Genomic DNA, 17,546 nt, shown 5'->3' with positions numbered 1-17,546 from the left:
GTGAAACAGCCAGGGCCATAACAGCACACAGAGCCAAGTAATGGTATGTGCAGCAGCCCCAGTAGGAGGAGGGGGCAGGATGAATTTTGAGAATTGAAAGAAAGCCAGGCTCGTTGGCACCTGTGAGTAGGGGAGATGACCTGAGATAAAACTGGAGATGTAGCAAGCAACTGGATCATGAGAGCTTTATAAGCCAGATGAAGGTTTGGACTTGATTCTCAAAGCTCTAGAATATCCTGCTCTGCTCATCCTGGCTGCTACGGGAACAGACTGGAGATCACATAGGTCGGGGAGACCACTTAGGAAACTGATACTTACCTGGTAATTCCTTCAATCTTTTTGATTTTTCAGAGGGGACAAATGAGTGAGAGAGACAGAAAATGTTTTTGCTACCTCTTATAAAAATGGAGAAGATCTAACAGTGAGAAGTGAGGGTGTGGAAGAGACAGACACTTAGAAAGAAGAGATCCTGAGCACAGGGGAGACATAGGCCTGCTGAAGAGGAGGCATAGCTATGTGACTGGACTGGAATTAGGATGCTTGAAACCCATATTCTATTGTGATGCCAGGGAGCAGGATATGACTATTGGTGGGACAGCTGGACTGTGGTGCAGGAAATGTCAATGAGGAAAAGGAGAACCATGACAATAGAGGCCAGACATGGGGCGAATCTTTCAGGCAGCCAGGTAGAGAGGAAGACCACCAGGCCAAAAGGATGGCAGATGCCGACAGGATGAAGGGAAGAGAATGACATCATCCAAAAAGATGCAAGATTTTGCAGCTGAGAGGGGAAGATATGGCCCAGAAAAGATCATGTATCCAGAGGAAGGAGAACTTCTGCTTGAGATGTGACCAGAAGCAGGGACCTGGAGAACAGTCCTTCCCCAAAGAAGTTTAAATTTCCAAGGAATTTGATGAATAGGACATAGGCATTCCAGAGGATATAGTGGAAGGTCTGGGGAGGAGGGAAGGAGAGGAGTGAGATGAGTTGGATCCAGGAATGCACAGAGCAATGTTAGTGCACAGAGTTACATTTTATACATATAATCATCTGTTCATGCTCACTAATATTTTGAGTAGGCCAAGAAAACTAGGTCAACCTCATATAAGGCAGGGATGAGAAACTCTCTGAGATTACAGAGAACAGATGTCAGCTTTAGCATCTGTGTAGCTTGGGTAAGCTGAAAAGATTAAGAACACGTAGAAAGCATGGTGCCTCATTCTTAGTGGGGCACACATGGTATCAAAGGAAGGAAGGAAGAAGAACGGTGAAACCTTGTTAAACTTAAGAGCACCTAGTACAGTTGGATGGTACAGCCTGAAGGGATGATTAAAAATAGAGAATCAGGATTGAAACCAGTGGAATAACACTAGCTTTATCTGCTGCAAAGAAGACCTACCTCTGAGATTCTTTATTTGCAACAAAATGACACCATCCTCTAAAAGTCACTCTTGGGCACTCCGGGGGATGCCATAGGGCACCACCTTATCCATCATGCAGGACTGAAGCTTTTATTGCACCAGTGGCAATACAATAGAAATACACATTTCAGTCCCACTCCGGACCTACTGATTCAGAAACTCTGAAGGTGCAGCTCAGCACTCTGCTTTTTAGCAAACAATCCAGGTGATTCTGATGCACAGAAGAGTTTGAAACTCATTGCACTAAAATTAGTTTATAAATATATCACACATCTATAATTTTGGAGTATCACTGCCGAAGGCTCTCAGGTAACTCCCTTCCTTGACATTATCTTCTACCAAAGACAGCCAACTTGCCCAAGATTACATTCCTAAGGAGTGAGGAGAGACAGCACACAGAAAATGACTGATCCAGAGTGGCTTTCTTGCCTCAATGTGGGCTATCTTTGAAGGGCCACCCCAACTTCAGAGCTCTTATGTTTGGACCAGTAAACTCATGGACAAGAATGAAAAGAAAATTTTATTTTATTCTTCCTTTTTGGGGGGAAGCCTTTATGTGCTTCCTTTCTCCACAATCTGCAGAGCGTTTTGCACTTCAGGGCTGTGACCTTAGTTTCCAGGATTTGGCCCCTCCAGAGATTAGGATGGAGTGACCCTGTTGAGGAGGGCATGGTGACTGGGGCTTGAAGTACAGAGAGACCTAGGCCAGTCCTGGAGGTGGACATCCTGGCTGGTGCCAAGACTGCTGGGAAATGGAGTGTCCTCTGGGCAGCAGAAGAATGTGCCCCACCCTTGCATGGTAGAACTTTAGAAGGGACAGCTGGGAAGAAACCAATGTTGTGATGTCAGGAAAATCTGCTGAGTCTTCACTACCAGAAACATCACAGCAGATGGGGTGCATTGTTCCCTTGAGCACATTCTACCAGCATGGTAACTTTTCAAGAATTTTACAGGAGATATGTTGATAGGGCATTTGCTAAACGTATAATTAAAAAAAATTGTAGTGCAATGAGTTTCAAACTCTGCTGTGCACCAGAATCACCTGGAATGTTTGCTAAAAAGCAGATAGCTGGGCTCCACCTTCAGAGTTTCTGAATCAACAGGTCCAGGGTGGAGCTGACATGTGTATTTATAACAACTTACCAGAATTGCTGATACTGCTGGTCCCCAGAACCACTGTCTTAGGGAGAACAGGATAAAAGTAAGACAAAGAAACCATGGAGAACATAGTCCAAAGGTGTGTATTTTCATTCACTGCATGCTTGCTTGCTCAGCACCTGATCAGTACATCTGCTGCCTTCTCCCTTAGTTTGTGTCCCCAGTGTCAGAATTTGGCTCTTCCTCTTTGTTGGCAGTGTCTGGCACTCTGTGGACTAAGGTCATAAATGGAGCTATGAGCCATCACACAGACCATGCTGGCCTGGTAGGGGAGCAGAGCTGATGTGTACCTTGAGGGATGTGCAGTTTGTATAACATTCAAGGTGACCAGCAGAGGGTGAGAGTGGCCTGGGGCTCAGCAGGTGCATCCCTCACCCAGCTGGGTATCCAGAGTGTCTGCACCTGTCCAGGAAGTTCTTTGCACAAAGGGTCTTCTGCCCCTCAAGCCACGCACTGTCTGAGCAGAGGGAAGGGTTGTGTCCACCAAGAGAGGGGACATCTTCTCATTTGCACAAGGGCCAAGTGTAAGCTTGCAGAGTCCTAAGCTGTGAGAGCAAAGCAGGAACTCGGCTGAAGAGGCTCTTTTTACAGCCACCTAAAGACTCTGGGGAAAGTGCATCCGTGAGACTGTGGAGAAGGATGGGGCTTCCCCAAAAGGAGTGACACTGGATTGATTTACTTTACAAAATGGAGGACCGTTATACTTCTTCCACCTGAGGATTGAATAGCCCACTACCATTTGCTGCTGGTGTCTGCATGACCTGAGTGGCATAGCTCATCTGGATTCCTGCTCTAAGCAGCATCAGCATTACCAGGGACCCCACCCCGGACCTACAGAATCAGAAAACCAGGCCATGGCCCAGCTGGAAGTGTTTTAACAAGCCCCCTCCTCCAAGGCGATTCTGATATATTGAAGCATTTGAGGTACTCTGGCTTGGAGCTTCTCCACTTCTAACAAACTTGGGAATCTCCTGGAGATTTTATTAAAGTCAGAATCTGAGATTGAAGTTCTGGAGTGGGGATTGAAAGTCTGTATTCTTAATAAGTTGCTTGGTAATGTGGATGCTGCAGATCCGCGAATTCACGTTGAGTAACAAAGGTTTATATTAGATTAATGGTTCTTGACCTTAACCTCTGTTTTACTCTTGGCTGTTATTAAAAAACAAACAAACATAGACTGGGTAGCCTATAAAAAACCAAAATTTATAGCTTACAGTTCTGGAGGCTGGAAAGTCCAAGATCAAGGCAGATTTGGTGTCTAATGAGAGTCTGCTTCCTGGTTCATAGACGATGCCTTAGCTCTCTGGGCCCTCTTTTATAAGGGCACTAATCCCATTCATGAGAGCTCTGTGCAGAGGTCCCACCTCTTCAAGTTGGTAACTAGAATGTCAGCATATGAATTTTTGGGGGACACGAACAGCAACTTCACATAAACACGTTGAAATATATGGATGTTTGCATCCCATCCACGGAGGTCCTGTGCCAGTTGTGGCATGAGCTGGACTGGAAATTGGACCTTGTTTTAAAATGTATTTATAGCTCCCCTGCTGATTCTAATGTGCAGGCAGATGTCAGGAGCCCCTAGCCTAGAAGCAAATGGGTCAGGCTCTTAGAAGGATGTAAGTTAAGGGGAAGTTAAAAGAGGAATTTGGGAGCAATCTGCTCCTTCTGGCTGATGAAAGTCTAGGGATTGTGGGGAGTGCCAAAGGGGCCAGAGACATCATATTAAGTGAGTTGCTCCTTGTTTAAATGAGGCCTTTGGGCCTCTGCTTCACATTCTCAGAACAAATAATGATGGCATGTGGCAAAAGGCAGGCTTCTTCTGCATTGTGGGATATTCAGCATAGAACTGGCTCTCTTTATCAGCTCCTGATTTGCTCTCCCTGCTTCCATACTAGCACTGGATTTTTGCTTATTTAATCTTTTTACCCTCCTTTGTTTAGTTCTTAAATTCCATTTTGTCATTTAACCTGATAACCTACATTTTGGTTGTCATGGAAAACAACATCCTGACTTATAAAACTGGAAGGTTGTTTCAGGACCCAGAAACTGCATCAGGCAGTGCTCAGAATCCACTGTCATCATATTTGGAGCCTCCTCTGGGATGGGTTTCTGAGTGGCCATATATTCCTTTGCAATGAAGAGGAGACTGTGGAGGACAGGGTGACCACTCTGCTTTTAGACATCATTAGTGTAGGGGCAGGTTTGTTGAAGTAGCCTTAAATGACTTTAGTAAAAAGAGTGTATTTTTATTTTTATATTCCAATGGCTGTAGGATCAAGGCCAGAATTAGGATGAACTGGGGAATAAAATAAGTTTTCTTGACTATAAGTTGTAAAATGCGTAGTTTTTAAGTATGATTTTTAAAAAGCATATTTCCTGTGAATAGCAGGGCAGAATTTTACTATGGAAATGAACTTCAAAGGTTAACATGTTTTAATTATTTAGAAAGTGAAGACGGGATTAAAACAGATAAATAGGATTCTACAACAAAAATCAAATGTAAAGAACTACAGAATATTAATTTTGCTCAAGTCTTTTAGCATATTTGGTATTACAAAAGAATGAGTAATATAACCAAGAGAAGAAATCTTCCTTCAGTCTGTAGTTTAAACTTAACATGGATCAATGTTATGCTCAAGCACTTTTAAAAATGCCTGCACAGAATTGTTAGCCATTAATATTTTTTCTTGCTGATTCACCTGTTTTTTAATCAACGCGTCTTTGACAAAATTGTTTATCAATGTCAGGAAATAAACGTGGTCATTTGCTTGAAATGCTAATGTGAAACCACTCAGTGAAAAAGCAATTCTAATCCAAGCTTGCCAATGGCGGTGTTGTCATAGGATCCTATTAAATTAGAATATATTAATCTACACTGTGTGGTTGGCTATGGTATGGGGCAGGGCATTTCGTCTGCCTTTAAATGAGTCGGTTTTTAAAAGTTAAAATCTGGAAATGGAAAAAAAAAGTCTATATGGTTAGTAGCGATTATAGTTCGCAATGCGAACAAAAGAATCTGGTTCCCTTTCAATGGAATTATTTTAATTCATTAAATTATCAGAAAATTCCAGTCCTCGCCATCTATTCCAAGAGCATGCAGTAGGTGGCACCTAAAAGCTCTTTGGAGGCGAACAGGCGCCATTTAAGCAGGAGCAGCAGCCTCTGCAGCAGTTGGCACATCTGAGAAGGCAGAGATTGAAGAGAGTAGGAGGAGCGTGCAGCGGCGGTGACAGTGCCAGGCCGGAGCGGCTCAGGCCAGCGCAGGTGCAGGGGCTGCGAGCGGGTGGAGCGCGAGGGCGCTGGGCGCAGGGAGCACGGCCGGTGGGCGGTGCAGGGCGCACGGCGGGCGAGCAGCTGACAGCATCGTCACGGCGGCGGGAGGGAGTGCGCTGCGCCTGCCTCCGGGAGGAGCCGCATCCACACACCCTGCGCTGCCCTGTCCTGCGCGAGTGGAGCTCTGAAGAAGCTCTGAGCGGAGTTGTGTTCTTCCCCAGGTAACCGATTTCCCCCTTCTGCCGTGGCTTCGCTGCGTCCGCATTGGGGCACGGGCGGCTTTGGCATGATTGTTTGCCAGCCCCTGGAAAGGGATTACCGCTCTCAGGGAGGGCGAGTCAGCGTGTACTGGAGTTGGTAAGAGGGGAAGAAATCTGCATTTCTGTATCCTTGTTAGGGAGGGTGAGCATCATGCTGTCCTTGTCTAAAACATGTTCTTTTTTAAAAATCTGTATCTTACGTATTATTAGGGATTCCTTCCAAAACAGGATTTACCGTTTTGGAAAATTCTACTGTGCAGGTGTTTCTGTTAATGTGGAAGTTTAATGGATTTAGGAAAAGAGTAAGAAGATGTGGTCTAAAGTGAGAAAAAAGCCAAGCACGCTAGGGACTGCCGTTTGGTTCGGCATGCTTTCATCCTCGACTCCTTCACTTCATGCGCTTGGCCGAGACCTGTCTAAATCTTTTGTTTGTCTTCTTAAAGAATGTGTTTCATGATATCTACATGTGCTCCTTTCCGCTTCCTTGTTGTAAGAGCAGAAGATGGGCAAGGGGCTGCATCCAGTCCTTAGTTGTAAGACTGTGGTTTCCCATCAGATGACAATGACTGCTGACAGCTCCCAGGCTCGCCTGAAAAGCAGTGCTGGCTTCTGGCGTTGTGGGAACCTGCCTCTCTCCTTCTCTCTTGAAAAATGCTGTTTTTCCTCTTTAAAACTCCAATTCACATTCTATGTGGGTTTGGGAGACTTTTAAACTAGAAGCTCTGTGAATCATCTGTTACATCCATTGAATGCTGGAATACAACATTGTGGTGGAATTCAGTTTCTTCCTACTGTGCAGAGACACAGCTTGCCTTCCCTAGGAATTTATTTTACATATTTGCCCTCGTTATCTTTTAAATGGATCCCTTCAGATGTGAGAAGCTAGTCCAGCATATCAGAACTTTTCTGCTTCAAACTAAAAATTTTCAAAAATATTATTTTTGAGGAAGATTTTCCAGGTAACGCTAAAAGTCTGGAGCATTTTACATTTCAAATCAGTCACAATGTGCTCCATTTCCAGTGACATTTGGATTTGAGGAGGTGGAGGGGGAGGGAGAGAAAAGGGGAGGATAAAATTAGAATAAATTTAACAAATTTGTAGGGGAATCATACTTTTTTTTCTTCTTGGTTGTTGTCTGAAATTGAAAATTGTCCACAATTTTATCTATCTCTGGAAATGCAGGAGGCTTTGTGGGCTGGGGACAGGAAGACACATAGTTCATTTTATAGAAATAAAAGATACAGTGGCAAGGAAACATTTTCATCCCATTTAACATATGGCATTTAATTTGGTAATAGTCCCGGGCAAGCACAGGGAAAGGAAGGAGAAAGGAGGGGGTATTGCTGTCTATACCAAGGCACAGAACTGCTGCTCACACTTCAGTGATCCCTGCAGATGGGAAGTATGTGTTCATGGTTATTGTAGAAACCTCCAGAATCTTTCTTTGTTACAGCTTTAATAGAATTGTTCCTAAGAGGCGACTCAGAAAACATACAGATTGAATGCCAAGTTGTGGAAGTCACTTTTCAGCTTGTGTCTAACAACCCAGCATTCTCAGCAAAGCAGTTTCCTCATGAGAAGAGTGGAGGAGACCTTTTTTTTAAAAAAATTATTTATTGTATGTTGTTCGTATCCTATACACCACACATGACTTTTACTGTATTGGAAATGTATTATTTCAGTGGTAAATACTGCATATCTTACTGAAAAATTAAAACCTTTTAAAAAACAACTGGGGTGCTTTTGTCAAAAAGAGAGTGTATCTGTGATAATAAAAAGTATTGTTCATTCTTCTTCTAATTTGGAGACCAGAGTTGATATGTTGAAAATTAACCTATTTATTTATGCAAAATCATCATTTCCCTGTGACAAATGCCATACATTTTTCCACCAGAGAATTTCTTTGTGAGAGGACCATTCAGTTGTCTGGGGTGGAGTGGTTGCCTGCCAGCTGTTTTAAGTAAAAAAAGTGTTTGGTGTTGATCTGCAACTTTCAATTCAGATAACAACCATCCCCAATTCTCACTCATATGGTGGATTGCCTCTATCTATCATCAGTCTATCTACCTGGTATAAGTATTGACAGTGGACAGATGTCTTTTTAAGAGCAGAACTGATTTGTAGGACACTGATTTTGGTTATGATTTTTCCAGGAAAACAGCTGCTCAATCAAAAGGGAATACGATGGTTCTTATGTTGTCAAAATTGCTGATGGCTTTTTAAGAGTTAAATTTACTAATTCATACATATTTAAACATGAACTGAAAGTTATTTAACTGGTGTCAAATAATGCTTTAGTTTTCATTATATGACATGGCTTGCAAGCCTCTCCTCACTGACGGGGAAGGACTCTATGAAGTAATAAAAACAAATGCTCCCTCATTCTCTCCTTCTTTGCTCTCAGCCACTGGCAAATTTAGGAAAGAGATTCCTTATAGCTGTCTCCTAAATGCAGTGAAGTGTTTTCTTATAAATCTGTACTGTACAATAGAATTGAAATGTGTGAGTCATATGCACAGTTTAAAATGTCCTAATGGTCGTAATGGAAAAGTAAAGAGAAACAGCTGAAATTAATTTTAATGATATAGTTAAGCCAGCATATAAAAAATGACCATTTAGATATAATCCATACAAAATACTGGTAAGATATTTTACCTTTTTAAATGCCTGCTGACGACTTACAAGACATCTCAATTTGGATTAGCTGTGCTTCCAGTGCTCAATAGCCCACACAGCTGATGGCTACTGTATTGTCCAGCACAGCTATAGATCATTACTCAATTGACGGTAATTTAAAAGCTAACATGTTCGGCGCCATCACCAACTAAGCGCTATCAAAAATAAATATACAAATGATCTCAGATTGCTGTGAGTTATGTGTCCTTCTCTTTCCTGCCATTAACTGTGGTGCTGTCTTGAACCTATTACTTAGTTCTTTATCAGAAAGACAAAAGGATTAGATCAAATAATTCCTGTGATTCTATGAAAAATAACCAGTGAGTAGATACGAGGGATCCAACTCACATGCAGCCTAGGGGTTTATTGTGGCAGAAACAAAGGAAACAGGTATGCCTGATGGGCATCATCATTTTGCACCACTACTAACTTCTATCCCAAGAAGTACTGCCCCCCCGGGTTTGCTTCAACCTTATTCTTGATTGCAGAGGTCAGCAACTTAGCCCGCAAGTCCCATTATGGGTCATTCAATTCTCATATAATTTCTTTTACTGAACAAGCAGCAGCAAACCCATTATAAAACTAATGAACAGCTAGTGGGCTATTCTGTACTATGCAATAAAATATATTTCACAGATCTTTTAGTATTATGCTTTACTGGTATGAGTATTTTCAATGTTTGTCTCTATTTGACACCATTAGATAAAGTTTAGGGTGAAATCTCATGCTTTATAATTGACCCATGAATACCGGATTCTTGAAACACAGAAATTAATGACCTTAATGAAAATATGTCCATTTCTTTATCTAATCCCTGAACACCTCCATGATCAGTGAGTGCTCGTGGGGTGGGTACAATTTCCATCACATGGTTCTCTGTCTCAGAAATTATGATAGGAGACTTAAAGAGGGCAGCGTTTTGTATGAGAGGATCTGGGGCAATATTTTTCTAAAGCTAATTAATGTCTGCAAAGTGATTATTTTTCTGAGAAAATAAGAACGCAAGAACTTTCCATTAGGCCTTCTCATAATAAACACACACACGCCCTTCCTCCTTTACCATCTTTAGATAATCATCAGAGCTCAGACAAAGGAGCCTTTGAAGGAGGAAGATTTCCTTCCTCTGTCATCCTTACACTCTGTTTTATTGGAGCACTTTTGTGCCTTTTGAGTTTGGGAGTTTCTCTCTAGAAGATGCGGAACAAAAAGGAAAAGTGATCAGAATCCAGGTTTCTTCATCGAGGGCAAATCCAGGTGGAGTCCACTCAGCTCTCTATTTGCATAAAAAAAATCCAGCTCAGTGCCATTTTTGTACAAACTTAGACTCATCTCCCCAGCCTTATCACCCAGCTACCTACCACCCCAATTACGTGCACACACACACACACACACACACACATGATCAATGGAGTATTTCATTGCCTCCTTGCCTATAAAACAATCATCTGACACTTAAAAAGGGATTGACTAAGCCTTTTGCTTCCTTCTCTTTACCTTTGTGCTTCTCTCTTGGGACCTCTTTGGCCTTCACTGGGTTCTTATTACAGAAGGAATGGTAGCAGACCACAAAATGTAAAACTGACATTAGCTTTTGAGTAAGGTCTGTGTAAATGTTTGCAAGCCAAGAAGAGATAGAACTACTGGATAATAGAAATGGCTGGGTAACCTAGATTTTGAAAAGAACTTGAATTTCTCTGAATATCATGAAAACCATGTGCTTATCTATTTTTTTAATTTTGCCAGATTTACATATAATGCTTTGTGCCTCTCTTTTTTGTTCTTCCATTCTTTAAATGCTAGTTTAAATTCCTCCACATACATAATAGTTTCAAGATGCAGAAATAAATCAAGTTGTTGTAACAAATATTTAAACATAAAAAACGAAGAGGTAAATATGGGAGAATTTTTAGTGGTTTCAGAGTAGGGGAGGACTTTTTAAGGATGAACTCAAACTGAAATACTAAAAAGGAAAAGTTTGTTAAATTGGATATACAGAAATTTTAAATTTCTGTCCAGAAGACAATTAAAAATAGATAACATCAAAGGAAAGATATTTGCAACATATTTCAGATGAGGCCTAATTTTTTAAAATACAGTGGTTCTCAAATTTTGTAAGCATCAGAATCACCTGATGGCCTTGCTAAGCCTGAGACTGCTGACTTCAAACCCATGCGACTCTGATTCAGCTGATCTGACTCAACGGGGAACAGGCTTTCTAACAAGGTCCCAGTGAAGGGGACAGTGCTGATCTTTCAAGCACAGCCGGAGAGCCACGGCCTTAATCTAAGATAATACCATCCCTGCAAACTACTAAAAACCGAGCAAAGAACAAGAACACACCGGTTTCAAAGATACAAATACCAATCACTTTTAACAGAAAAGACGCTCAATGTCACCCAAATTAAGCAAATGCAATTAATTCAGTAATGAGAAACAGACATCTTGTTTCAATGGAAGGGATCAAAGAGTTTGATAATACACCATATTATGCAAGGTTTGGGGAAATAGCACTCATACACCTTCATGGGACAGGTGATGGAGAACTTGATAGTAATTTTCAACAGCAACAGGCCATCTCTACCCAATTTGAAGTGTACCTACCGTTTGATTCTGCAGTTCCATTTACAGGAGTTTTCTCTACAGATAGGCTCAGAAACATGAAATATTTAAGTATAAGGTTTTCATTGAGCAAAAGACTGAAAATAGCAAGAAAGTGGTTAATAAATGATAGCTTATCCCTCAGCAGAGTCTTCTGAAGCTGTTAAAAAACACAATCTGGCTCTATATATACTAATATGAACAAATCTGTAGATGGCTCCTAACTTGCAATGTTTCAATGTATGATGTTTTGACTTTACAATGGTGGGACTACTACATACATTCGGTAGAAACTGTACTTCAATTTTTGATATTTTCCTGGGCTGGTGATATGCAGTGATATATTTTATGATATTCTCTCACTATGCTGGGCAGTGGCAGTGAGCCATAGCTGTTAGTTATCCTCATGATCACCAAGGGAAACAACTGATACTCTATAATTGACTATGTTGCCAGAAGACTTTGCCCAACTGTAGGCTAATGAAGGTGTTCTGTGCACGTTTAAGGTAGGCAAGGCTAAGCTATGGTATACAGTAGGTTAGTTGTATTAAATGCATTTTTGACGTGATATTTTCAACTTATGAGGGGTTTATCAGACTGTAGCCACATGGTAAGTTGAGGAGCAACTGTACATGAAACACTGTGTATACCATACTTCCATGTATTTGTCTATCTCTCTGACTAAATAGCTATCAATTGATATCTGTCTCTCTTTGACTATGTACCATTTTGTTAACACTTGATCACAATTCTGCTCCCTTAGCAATGACCACTCAAATCATTTAGTCACATGCTAAATGTTCCACTACCATTCAATTTATGCTTTTGACAAGAGACCATTTCTGGTGATTGAGAAAAAAATCATGTTGAGTAAGTTGCCATTGTGAGTTAATGTGAAACAATGAGCCAATGAAGTTACCACATTGTAGAAATATTCAAGTTTGTCATATTTTGTTGCATTTCAAACAAAATATTGTTGATTTTTGCATGGTAACTTTTTGGTGATATGTTTATTCTTACAGAGGCATTCTGTAAGAATATTCAGGGCCGGGCACCATAATTGCAAACCATCTTATCCACACCCTTGGCTTCCATCCCTACCTCAATGCAGGTAGCTCACGCCTATAATCCCAGCACTTTGGGAGGCCAAGGCGGGTGGATCACGAGGTCAGGAGATGGAGACCATCCTGGCTAACACCGTGAAACCCCATCTCTGCTAAAAAATACAGAAAATTAGCCGGGTGTGGTGGCGGGCGCCTGTAGTCCCAGCTACTCAGTAGGCTGAGGCAGGAGAATGGCGTGAACCCGGGAGGCGGAGCTTGCAGTGAGCCAAGATCGCACCACTGCACTCCAGCCTGAGTGACGGAGCGAGACTCTGTCTCAAAAAAAAAAAAAAAAAAAAAAAAAAAAGAATATTCAGTTGTATTCTCTATCCTTTAGGACAATTCCAGATTCCACTGAATTGTTCCACTTCTATTATATAAACAGAAGCTATGTTCGGGGCAGAAGGGTCTTGCCCTGGAATCCTGAGACTGCAGATGGAACCCAGACCTCTTGGTTGTAGCACTCGTACTAAATAGGAAACTTATACTAATTAGAAACTGTGAGTCTTTTACCCCAGCATTGAAAGACATGTAAATACTAAATATTATCTTGTCTTCCATTACCTTCTCTTAAGACCGGCAAAGACTGACAAATGAGACTCCTTATTCTGACTCTAGTCTCCCATGGCCTGGGCCTTCTCTGATCAGGCTTATGAGGACACTTTTGCCCCTAGTGTTAAGGCTACATCCAAATCATGAGTTAAATATCCCATGATGTAAGTATAACCCATGTTTTCCTCCAAACATGTGTTTTCTTGACCTCGTGGTGTAGTTGTTCAGAGTTCAGCTTTTGGTGTGGACCTTACATGAAGCATGTAGAGCATTTCTGATGTGTCAGAAAACATACACAGTTATCCATTATAAGCTGCCTAACATTATCATTGCATTTTTTTAAATGAATATTTTATGAGTTTCAAAGTTGCTTCGCAATATTTTAGGTTAGTCTGAAAGGCTTCCTTCTGCAACAGTTTAGAATCCAGCGCTCCTTGTTCAGTTCTTACTAATTTGGGTTGGTTTGAGTGCTTTCCCAGATTAGCTATGATTACTATGCTTAGGTGCACTAAAACATTAATGAAGATTCTGTCCCCAGATACCTGCATGGCGTGAAATGTTCATCCAGAGCTTCCTTGTTTTAACCGAAGCCTAGACCACGTTTCTGGTCCCCTAGGCTCTTGTGATTGTCTGCTCCTCTTCCATGTGTGTTTGGACTTACCTAAACTTGAGTTCAAATGTGGATTCTGTCACTAGTTGTGCAACAATTCTCTGTGACTTTAACCATCCAGAGCCTCAGTTCTCTTATCTGTAAAACGGGGCTATTAAGAGCTAAGTAAGTCAAAAGGTGTCTTAAAGATGAAACTTGCCTAGAACCTCTGGATTCTAGCTAGGTAATAAGGATTCAGGCTGTTTGGGTCGTTGCTATCTGATGAATATTTGAGTGGTTCCTCTTTCTCAGTGTCTCAGGTTTATTCCTCTCTTTTACAACTTGGCACGAAGCCCATTGTCTTAGAGTTGTACTTTATTTCTGGATGGAATTCTGGCTTCAGCTTCAGCCCTTTCTAATTTACCAGAGCTCACACTCTCAAATGAATGTTCAAATGTTCCCTTTTCTCCTATACATCTTTCTGTTTTCATTGGACCAACTGGGACTCTATTTTTTATCTGGTTAAATCCACTTTCCTCCTTTTGCCAATGTTCCTTTCCTCTGTTGACTAGACTCATCTCCCCATAGGAGTTCCTGACTCTGAATTCATATGGTTTTGGATATGAAAGAACATGTCTTCGTTGATATTCTTGTTTTTCTAGCCTTGAGATGTTCATCTGTGTAAAGATCCTGGGCATCCTGGCCTTGACTGGAAGCCTGCCAAGAGCTCCTCAGGTATTAGGACTGTATGAGGTTATTGATCATTGGATTCTAGACACATTGGTAATTATTCCCTCCTATTGCTAACCTGCCCGGTCACCATGGAGCAGACGCAAATAAATTTTCATTGATTAATGGCTCCTAGGTCCTTACTGTATGCCCTTGCTCTCTTCTGACCTCCTGGAAATTGTTCTTCACTCAGCAAGGGTGTGGGCCCCTGGTTCATTGTCTTCCTTCTGACCTCATGTTCAGATATCATCCAAGGTCACTTCACTCTTTTTCCATCACTCTTCTTATGCTCCACAGGCACAGGAGGACCTTTTCTGGACTGGACACCCTTGCATTTCTAGGGGGACCAGAGGGAGCCTCCCCACTCTGACCATAGCACTTCCTTTTGACCCTCAGCAGGAACTTACACTTGATCTTGCTAGTAAATTCAGCTGTTACCTTCTCTTTAAAAAGTATACATGTCTATATATCTGTATTTGAAAATTAATTTTTAAAAACTTAACAAATCAAAACTGTGTACCATGTAGCCACCAATTCAAATCTTTCCTTTGATTCACAACCAAAGTCTCAGGAAGTGTTTCTGAGCTGCCTATCTCAGTTTCTACGTTTTATGCTTACTTCTCAATCCACTGCAATCTTCTTCTACCCTGTGGTGCCATTGAAGCGCCTCTTGCCAGGCTCACCAGTGACTTGCATTGCTTTGCATCCAGTGGGCACTCGCCAGTTCTCATTTGACTTCACTTCTTAGTGCCATTTCACAAAAGCAGATCCACTGCTTTTACCAAACATCAAATTATGGAGTCTCTTGAGGCTGTGTCCAAGTCATCCACTCCTTTCTCTTTGTTCTTGCAAACGATCTCATCCACACACTTGGCTTCCATCCCTGCCTCAATGCAGGTAGCTCCCAAATGTGCATTCCTATCCCAGATGCTATAGCTAGCCCTGGACATGTATCCACCTGTCTACCTGATGTGAGCCCCTGACTGTCCCAAAGGCACTTGGAGGGCTGCATCCTGAAAATTAAGCCAATGATTCCTCCCATAAAACCTGTCTTTTGTCCAGGATTCTCTCAGCAAATCATCTCATCCTAGCTATGCAGTTCTGTAAGTTGGAAACCTTAGGAATTTTCTCTGATGCTTCCTTCTCCTCCAGTCTACCTCAACCCCTTTTCCCACCGACCCATCACTAGTTGCTGTTGATGTCACCATAATTGTTTTCTGCCTCCTCTGCTCTCACCTTAGCCCAAGCTGCCTTTGTTTTTGACCAAATTGTCCACTTGACAGGGAAGCCAGGGCCCCTTCAGTGGCTGCCCTCTGCCCTCTACAAGCCGCCTGTGATGTCAGCATGGCCTCTTTTCCAGACTCTCCTCACATGGCTTCCCCTGGCAACCCACGGTGGCACTCTCCTTCCAGTATGTGAAAGGCTCCGTGCTGTCTCCTTCCCCAGGGCCTGCCTGGGGCACGTGGTCTTGGTCTGGCTTCACTAATCCGTCTACAACAGAGAGCCATGGATATCACCAAGTAGCAGCACTGCCCTGTCAGTGAAATAGCCGCATGTTCTGCACTAGTGTTCTGTGGTTGCAGCCTGGAAGCCCCATCTGAGATCCTGCCCAGCCCACAGAAACACATGTTACAGCAAAGTAGAGGTGAAGCCAGAGATCTTTGCTTACGTTGTTCTGGCCTAAGGCAAGTCGCTTAGCCTGCCCTTCCCAGTGTGCTCATTAGAAGCAAAACACAGATTCATGCATGGACTGAACAAATGCTTCTTGCACACTTCTTATGGGCCAGGCAGTGTTCAAGTACTGGGAGACAGGAATGAATGGAACAGACAAAAAGCCCTTAAGGAGCTTTTAATATAGTGGAATTAAACACAAATTTTTTAAAAAAGGAAATTGCATACTATGTTCTAAAACAAATGTAAGCTGGAGAAAATAAAGTGGGAAGATGCCACAGACTACTGGGTTGAAGATAGGGTTGAAAATTGAGATAGGGTGGTCAGGGAAATTCTCATTGAGCCAGTGATATTTTAACACAGGCCTGTGGGAGGCAAGAGAGTGAGGCCTTTGATTACCTGGGGGAAGAGGGTCTGGGTAGTGGGAGCAACCAGGGCAAAGGTCCTGAGGCAGAAGCATGCCAGGTGAGTCCAGGAGCAAGGATATAGTGTGGCTGGAATTGAGTGAGCTGGGGGATAATGGTGGGAATGAGGGTAAGGTGTGGAGCAGAGCCCCTTAGCTGTTACTGTCAGGGAGACAGGGCCAATGATGGAGGGTTTTGAGCATAGGAATGACGTGTCCTGCAGCCTGAGTGGAGGATTGACTGGAGTGGCTCAGAGCCTGAGGCAAACTGATCACCCAGCAGGCTGCTGCAGTCATGCAGGTAAGTGATGATAATGCCTGGAGAGCCTGCTAACAATGGAGAAAGTGATTCATGGTGGAGTCTGGAAGAGTTTGGAAGATATCACTGACAAATGTTGCTGATGGAGTGGACTTGAAGTATAAGAGAACAAGAGGAGGTAAGGAGGACTTCAAGGTTCTTGGCCTGGGTGACTGGAGGGATAATGTTGCTACTGACTGAGGCAAAGAAAACTATAGGGGAGCAGTTTCGGGTGTTACAGGGTGTTTAGACTTGCACATGTCCTATTTGGGATGTGTGCATGGCACCCAGGGGGAGATGTTGAGGCAGGAGAGGGGTATATGAGCCGGCAGTTTTAGGGAGAGGTCCTGGCCATGGGTTTGCAGTTGAGGGTGCAGGTATATGAATGATATGGCATCTCAGATGCCCCCACTGACTGAGTGAGTAGAGTAGCAGCGAAGGAAGAGTAGCAAAGATAGGGTGTGGGCTCTCTCATGGGCGAGCTAGTTGCAGTGATGGTGCTGATCTGCCTCTCCTGCTGCCTCTACCCTGGTACAAGCCACCCTTGGCACGTATCAAGATTGTTGCTGGAGACTTCTGACTGGAATCCTGCCTCCGCTCCTGACCCTTGGCCTGCAGGCCCTCAAAGGGGTACTTTTACAATGGAGGTCCCACCGTATCACTTCTCTGCTCAAAACCCTCCAGCTGTCTCCTGTTCTTCTTAGAATAAAAGTTGACCTTTTCCCTGTGCTTACAAAGCTCTACATGACCTGCCTGTCCCGGCCCCTTTACTTTGCTGACCTCATCTGCTTTCCTCTCTCCATTCAAGAA

At 42.7% G+C, this 17,546-nt stretch overlaps 1 protein-coding gene across 1 annotated transcript in view, besides 1 other annotated feature; it reads left to right on the top strand.

The window, feature by feature from the left end:
• Positions 6,005-17,546, top strand: part of DIRAS2 (DIRAS family GTPase 2) — a 32,993-nt gene continuing 21,451 nt past the window's right edge. The window contains exon 1 of the mRNA NM_017594.5: positions 6,005-6,077. The gene's annotated coding sequence lies outside the window, so the exon portion shown is untranslated. The remainder of the gene's footprint in view (positions 6,078-17,546) is intronic.
• Positions 6,017-6,066: a silencer, noted in NCBI's record as "silent region_20021". NCBI's record gives its function as "represses an Ori minimal core promoter by ATAC-STARR-seq in GM12878 lymphoblastoid cells {active_cell/tissue: GM12878}" and the evidence as "EXISTENCE:reporter gene assay evidence [ECO:0000049][PMID:35858748]".

This window comes from Homo sapiens, chromosome 9, assembly GCF_000001405.40.
Source record: "Homo sapiens chromosome 9, GRCh38.p14 Primary Assembly".
In the NCBI taxonomy this organism is placed as follows: Eukaryota; Metazoa; Chordata; class Mammalia; order Primates; family Hominidae; genus Homo; species Homo sapiens.
The sequence above is the reverse complement of the archived record's forward strand: the minus strand, read 5'-3'. Positions and strand labels throughout refer to the sequence as shown.